Below are 6,353 nucleotides of genomic sequence, written 5' to 3' on the forward strand. Positions count from 1 at the left end.
CTTGAAGCAGGTTAGAGGGAAGGGGAGCTGCATGATGGGCCTTATGGCAGGGCTGAGTGGCCAGTGGGGGCTTCGGAGCAGCAAGACCAGAGCTGAGCAAATCCTGAACTACAGCCGGGGTACAGTGGGAGGGGCACTAGGATGCACTGCTGGATAGGACCCCGGGCAGGTGATGGGCAGTCATCAAGAAGGACTTCTGGGTACCTGGTTTAGACAATGGGTGGGCAGTGGAGACTTCTCAAGACAGGGGATGAAGCAGTCATCAGGTTTGGGGTAAAAGTCAGGACAAACTGGCTTCACGTTGGTTGGTTTTGAAGAACCTGTGAGTCTTCCAAGTAGATAGAGCCAAACACAGGCCTGGAACTCTGCAGAGAAGGCAGGAGCTAGAAATAGGCGTGGAGCCCTTGTGAGGGTGCAGCACCACCAGGGACTGTGCGCAGGTGCAAAGAGGCCAAGAATGGAACTCCAGGGAGCTGAGAGAGAGAGAGAGGGAAAGAAAGAAAGAGAGAGAGAGAGAAGAGGTCGGGGAAGACAGGGCCGAACTGGATGACAGTGATCATGGGGAGGCCACAAGGACCAACTGCCCCACGAGGCGTGTGGACAGTGATACCTAATACTACAGAAACCGTCCTAGGATGCAACACCCAGTGGTGTGGGGACTGGGTGACTTTTGCACTCCTTTCCGGCCTGGGCACTCTTTCATCCTCTGAGTGCGAAAAACACACCTTTTCTATTCATCTTCTCCCGCATCCCCACAGTCTGGAGATCTGACCCACAGAAGGTCAGGCTAGAGAATCATGAGGGTGGATGGATGGATGGATGGATGGATGGATGGATGGATAGATGGAAGGATGGATACACTCACTGCCTCTTGCCAGCAGCTGAGGACTCCAGAGCAAGGGTCGCCTCTCCTGCCAGGCACTGGCCAGGCTACTGCTACAGCTGTGCACACTCCAATGTGACAGGCATAGCTCCCCTGGGCCGTGGCGAGCAGCAGAGCTTCAAACCGACTGTACATGCCAAGGCCGAGGCAGAGACACCTGTGCAGACTCCAGACAGCCCGAGAGTACCTGATGCCACCTTGAGCTCTTTCTCTACCACACCAGAATGTGTACACGCAGGCACATGTGCACACACATGCACACACAAATGCACATCCATGCACCCAGACATGCATGCTCACATAAACACATGCCAAGGCTTAGTGTCTCCCTCAGGGACAGGGCATACCTGTCCTCCACACCTCCTTTGCAGCCAGGGGGAAGCTTCTGACCTGCCCGCCCCCCTGTTAAGCACGCTCTGCACACGGGGACTTCCCAGTCCTCTCCCAGCTGTGGGCTGCTCTCTTGTCATCTGGCCACAGAGGCTGACAAGCATAAGCAGGTCTCCAACTTGGCCCCAGCTCCTCTTGGAGGCTGGACTGGCAGATAAATTGGTCCTGGAGGGAGGTGAGGAGGGGGAACAGAAAGAGGGGGGCCTAGAGGGAAGATTTCAAATGCATTTCTCTGCTAAACCAAACTCCAGCTTTCCAAGTCTCATAGCTGTGTTGCAAAGGCTGACAGAGCGCCAGCCCAGGCTCAGGCAGATGGTGCCAGGAGGGGCACAGGCCAAGCAGAGTGGGCAGGGATCCATCAGAATTCGGTGAAGCAGAGGCTCCAGGAGGAATGGTCTGGCCTGCCGACCTCAGAGCATCTCTAGAGGCCATTCCGGCTCATTCCGGCTTATTCCGGTTCTGTGAAAGCCAGAAGCCAGTCAGATCCAGCCTGAGAAGCACCAGCATTTGTCCTAAGAGCGAGTTGAGAGAGGACTTGGTGTACAGCCACACTCAGCAGGTGCCCCGGACCTTTAGCCCTTCGCAGACCGATGGCTGATACCAGTATGGCCATTTTTAAGTCCAGAGGAGGAGGCTGCACAGCACAAGAGAATCCAACTTCAAAACATACTTTCTTGTTGTTGTTGTTGACCAATTCTTCTCAGAGGCTCCCACCAGAGGCCTGCAAAATGGAGGCCAGCAGGGCCCCCCACGTTCCAGTCCACATTCAGTAAAAAGCATGTGGAAGGGGGTGCCATCATTCTCTGCTCATTCTGCTGTTATTTCCCTAAAGTCTTACCATAAAAGGCACAGTGCTCACAGGAATTGCTGCTTCCAGGTATTGGAATGTGGAGGGCATCACCCGACCACGGCTGGCTGTGGGTCCTGGGTATGGAGTCAGTGAACCAGGCAGACAGCACTCAGCCTGCAGAGCGGGCATCCTGGATTCCCGGCTCCCTGAGAGACAGTGGCTGCTCCAGAACTGCCATGGAGCCACCGGGTGTGGGAAGCTGGGATGGAGCACACTGCTTAGAAATAGACCTGGGGGTCTCCCACAGACAGTGTCATCCGGGGCCTGCCTACACAGTCTGTGTTGAGTCGGCAGGTGCAGCCGCGCCTACCTGAAATCTGAGTCAGACTCACCAGATGCCCACAGAGAAGGCATATGGAAGAGGGAAGTCCCCCGCAGAAGTCAGGAAAAGTCTGTATCATATACGTAACAGTATACGGAATGCTATCTGTCTCAGCCTTAAAACCAGTATTGCCGATTCTGAAATCCCAATTGCGTCTGTTCTTAGCATGACACGCTGTGAAATGTAAAAGCCTGAAGCCCTTCAGTGGCTTTCTGGATGTCAGACAATTCTTGCAAATAGCAATTTAGTGAACACAACCTAACCGAATAAAATCATGCCAACTGGATTCCCTTTGATCCGGACATACCACTCCAATGTATGGAGGTCAGTACTTAACATAAGGTATGACAAGTCTGCTTCAGCAAAACCATTTGAAAATTGGTATTATGACATGCCAAGGCCACAGTACTGCAGCTGACAGCCCACACCTCTCCAGCAGCCCAACTGCACTGAGGGCTTACAGGGCACTGAAAATTGTAAATCAAATTCATTCCTGAGAAAATGAATAAAGTGAATTTTTAAGAAATGCTTTAACTGGAATGTACTTGGAGGCACGGGTATGTTGTGGAGGAGATGGACGCCGACCCAAGACCAACTTGCCTACAAAAGTGGTTGCTACAGTCTACAAGCTTGTGCCTGCCTCCTAAATTTCTATGTTAAAATCCTAACCCCAAGGTGATGGTATCTGGAAGATTTGGGAAGTTGATTAGGTCATGGAAGCAGAGCCCTCATGAGTAAGGTTAATGACCTCAAAAAAAGAAGTCCAAGAAACCTCCCTTCCCCTTGGCTGGGGAACCAAATCACCATGAAGTGGGTTTTAAAGGTGATTCCAGTAAAGGCTCAGAAATGACAGAGGAGAGCTGCAGGGAGAGCCTCCGCCTTATGGAATATCTAAGTGGTCATGAACAGAATGTTGGTAGAAATATGGATGATAAAGGCCTTTCTGGTGAGCTCTCAAATGGAAATGAGGAACGTTTGAGAATGAAATACAAATGAGGATGACACAGGAAAGGCCATCCTTGTTATAAAATGGTGAATAACTTGGCTGGATTGTGTTTGTGTCAGGTGTTTTATGGAAGATGAAACCCCCAAACAATGGAAGTGGATATTTGGCTGAGCAGAGGGCTGCAGGAGCACCCGGTTCCTCTTGACTCCTCATAGTGAGATGGGAGAAGAGTGAAGCAATTTAAAGACAGAGATGGTAATCCAAAAGGAAGCAGAGCTTAAAAATTAGGAAAATTCTCAGCCTATCCATATTGGGAAACACAAGAAAGCCTGTTTGGGAAAGAACAAGGGTGTGGCCAAGAGACCTTTGATATGGAAATTAGCATGAATCTGCCATCTCAGCAGAAGACAGGTGCCATTCATGAAGACAATGGGGAGATTAGCCAGAACCTAGTGTCCATGACCACGGAAGAATGACCTCAAAGGAGTTTCAGAGCCTGAAGAGTGGCATGGCATCAAAGGAGAGGCCACAGCCACCTAGCCCTGTCACACATCTGAGCTCTACTCCCCGCACTCAGACACCAAGCTGCTCGGCGGTCCCAGGTGTGGCTCTGGTGGGCTGGAGGGGAATGTAGTTTGTGCAGAAAGGCTATGAGAGCATGACTACCTCCACCTAGATTGTTCTAGAGGGTTCTAGAGAGTAACATGACCCAGGCAGAGGGGTGTCTGGGACAGGGCAGCTGCAGGGAGCCCCCACTAGGGCAACGCCCAGTGAGGCCATGGGCGTAAGGCTGCTCAAAGCCATGGGAGTGGGGCTGCCCGGAGCCTTCAGCACCCAACTCCTGTGTGACAAAACTGTGGATTGGGCCCTGCACCCCAGGGTGCCTGGAAGGTGGGATCCAAGCCCCATTGAGCCCGGAGGGCAGAGCATTGAGCCGATGTTGATTCCTGATCTTTAAGGCCTTTCTTCTTCCCTATTTTTGCCCTGTGGAATACAAATGTCTGTACTACACGTGCCCCACAACTGTATTTTGAAAGCACATAAAACGTTTCATTTCACCAGCTCATAGATGATGAATTTGCCTCAAGACGCAAACCACCTTTGAGTCTCACCAGTATCTGATTCAGGTGAGACTTTAGACTTTTGCATTGCTGCTGAAATTAATTAAAACTTTTAAGGATGTTGAGATGGAACGAATGTATTTTGTATGTGAAGACATGAATTAGGAGGGTTCGGGACAGAATGCTATAGTTTGAATGTACGTATATCTCCAAAACTTATATGTTGAGATTTAAATCCCAATTTGATGGTATTAAGAGGTGTGTCCTTAGGGAGGTGATTAGGCCCTGAGGGCTCCACTGACAAGAATGAGACTAATGCCCTAAGAAAGATGCTTCAGAGACCTTCCTAGTCCTTTTGCCTCTTCTGCCCTGTGAGTGCATAATGTGCAGCCATTCTGCCATTGCTCCATTGTGCCTTAAGCCATGGGAAGACACTGCAACAAGGTGTCATCTTGGAAGCAAAGAGGAGCCTCACTGGACACCGAAGCTGCCAGCACCTTGATCTTGAACTTCCCAGCCTCCAGAATTGTGAGAAATGAATTTCTTATTTACAAATTACTTGGTCTAAGATATTTTGTTATAGCAGCATGATCGGAATAAGAGAGTTATTTTATGTATTTATAAAAACACAATGTTTCATCGCACTCCCTAAGGCTCGTGGTAGGGTTTGGGAAGTGGGCCATTTTACACCAAGAGTGGGAAGAGACAGACATGCAGATGTCTCCCTGAGCTTTTCAAGAAGCCTGAAGTCTGGTCATTGTTATCCTGGTTAGTCTAGTTAAGACCCTGCCTAAAATCACAGGCTAAGGAGAGCATGCCAAGAGTCATTCCCTCCTTAAGGGCTATGTTCCAAGGGGAAAAAATCACTCTATATAGATGCATCCTCAGATGAATGAAGATGTGGCCTCAGATCCTAGAGCAGGGAGGGGGCCCCCTTAGTCTTCACTTAGTCTGCCCCCTTAGTCTTTGCTTAAAATGCAGTGGAATATCCTAGTTAGTTTAGGAAACTTCAGAGACCCGGTAAGGCCACCAACACTTCCACACTCAGGGCAAGAGTCTCTATGGGAAATGGAGTGCTCCAAGTTGCCGCAGGTGCAGCGTGCGAGCTCAGTGTGCGCGTGTACATACAGGGGAGTGCAAAGCAAGCACTCGTTTGCATAGAGCCTCTCCGCATGCTCACAGACACACAGAGAAACGTGCACAGAGCCACCGCCTCTTCAGGAAACTTCCAGAGGCCCTTCCAAGTAGACCACTGGGTCTTCACCCACAGACTCTGCATCAGGGTTTCAGGATGTACCCTATCCTCAATGTCAAATATAGTGGCTTACCTGGTTGAAAGCTTCCACCAGGGGGCAAGATTTTCCATTCCACAGTGAGAATCCAGGCCCAATCCTGCTACAAGGAGACACATCATGCCTTTACCTTCCATGCAGATGTAATAGTGGCAAGGCAAATGCTCTCCTTGACCAGAGCAAAGACATGGGGAAGTTAGGGCAGAAGAGTCCTGCAGGGAGCAAAAAGAGGCGTGAGGGAAGAGGCCAGGCAAGGCAGAGTGTGAGGAGTGAAGCCCAAATCAAGCCTCTTGGACCTCAATAGCTGTCAAGGTCTTATCTTGGCTACAAATAAAATATTGCATTTTAAACCCCCAAATATGCCAAGACCATCCTCTGCCTCTCTGTCTCTAACCTTTCCAGACTGAGCTCTAGGATGCCAGGGAAAAGCAGCAGGGCAGTTAATTCCCGCATTCCTTCCACCTACAGCAGGCTCTGGGAGTCCAGTACATGCAGGGCCTGGGGGACAGCAGAGCCCCACCTGAGACAGAGGCTGAGCTCAGCAGCCAGTCAAACCCGGTCTGGTTCTGCTTCCAGATGAAAACGTCTCTATGTTAGTGTGTTTCTACA

The 6,353-nt window shown here is 50.4% G+C and overlaps 1 long non-coding RNA gene across 1 annotated transcript in view, besides 1 other annotated feature; it reads right to left on the reverse strand.

Moving 5' to 3' along the window:
- LOC105373390 (uncharacterized) overlaps positions 1-2,319 on the reverse strand; it is a 133,531-nt gene extending 131,212 nt beyond the window's left edge. The window contains exons 1-2 of the long non-coding RNA NR_187835.1: positions 1,231-2,319; positions 205-473 (exon numbers count right to left, since the gene is read on the reverse strand). This is a non-coding gene — a long non-coding RNA (uncharacterized LOC105373390). The remainder of the gene's footprint in view (positions 1-204; positions 474-1,230) is intronic.
- Positions 3,565-4,095: an enhancer, noted in NCBI's record as "NANOG-H3K4me1 hESC enhancer chr2:2845889-2846419 (GRCh37/hg19 assembly coordinates)". NCBI's record gives its function as "activates a minimal SCP1, AML or CMV promoter by ChIP-STARR-seq in naive H9 embryonic stem cells {active_cell/tissue: H9 hESC(naive)}" and the evidence as "EXISTENCE:reporter gene assay evidence [ECO:0000049][PMID:30033119]".

The sequence above is a fragment of the Homo sapiens genome, chromosome 2 (genome assembly GCF_000001405.40).
Source record: "Homo sapiens chromosome 2, GRCh38.p14 Primary Assembly".
NCBI lineage: Eukaryota > Metazoa > Chordata > Mammalia > Primates > Hominidae > Homo > Homo sapiens.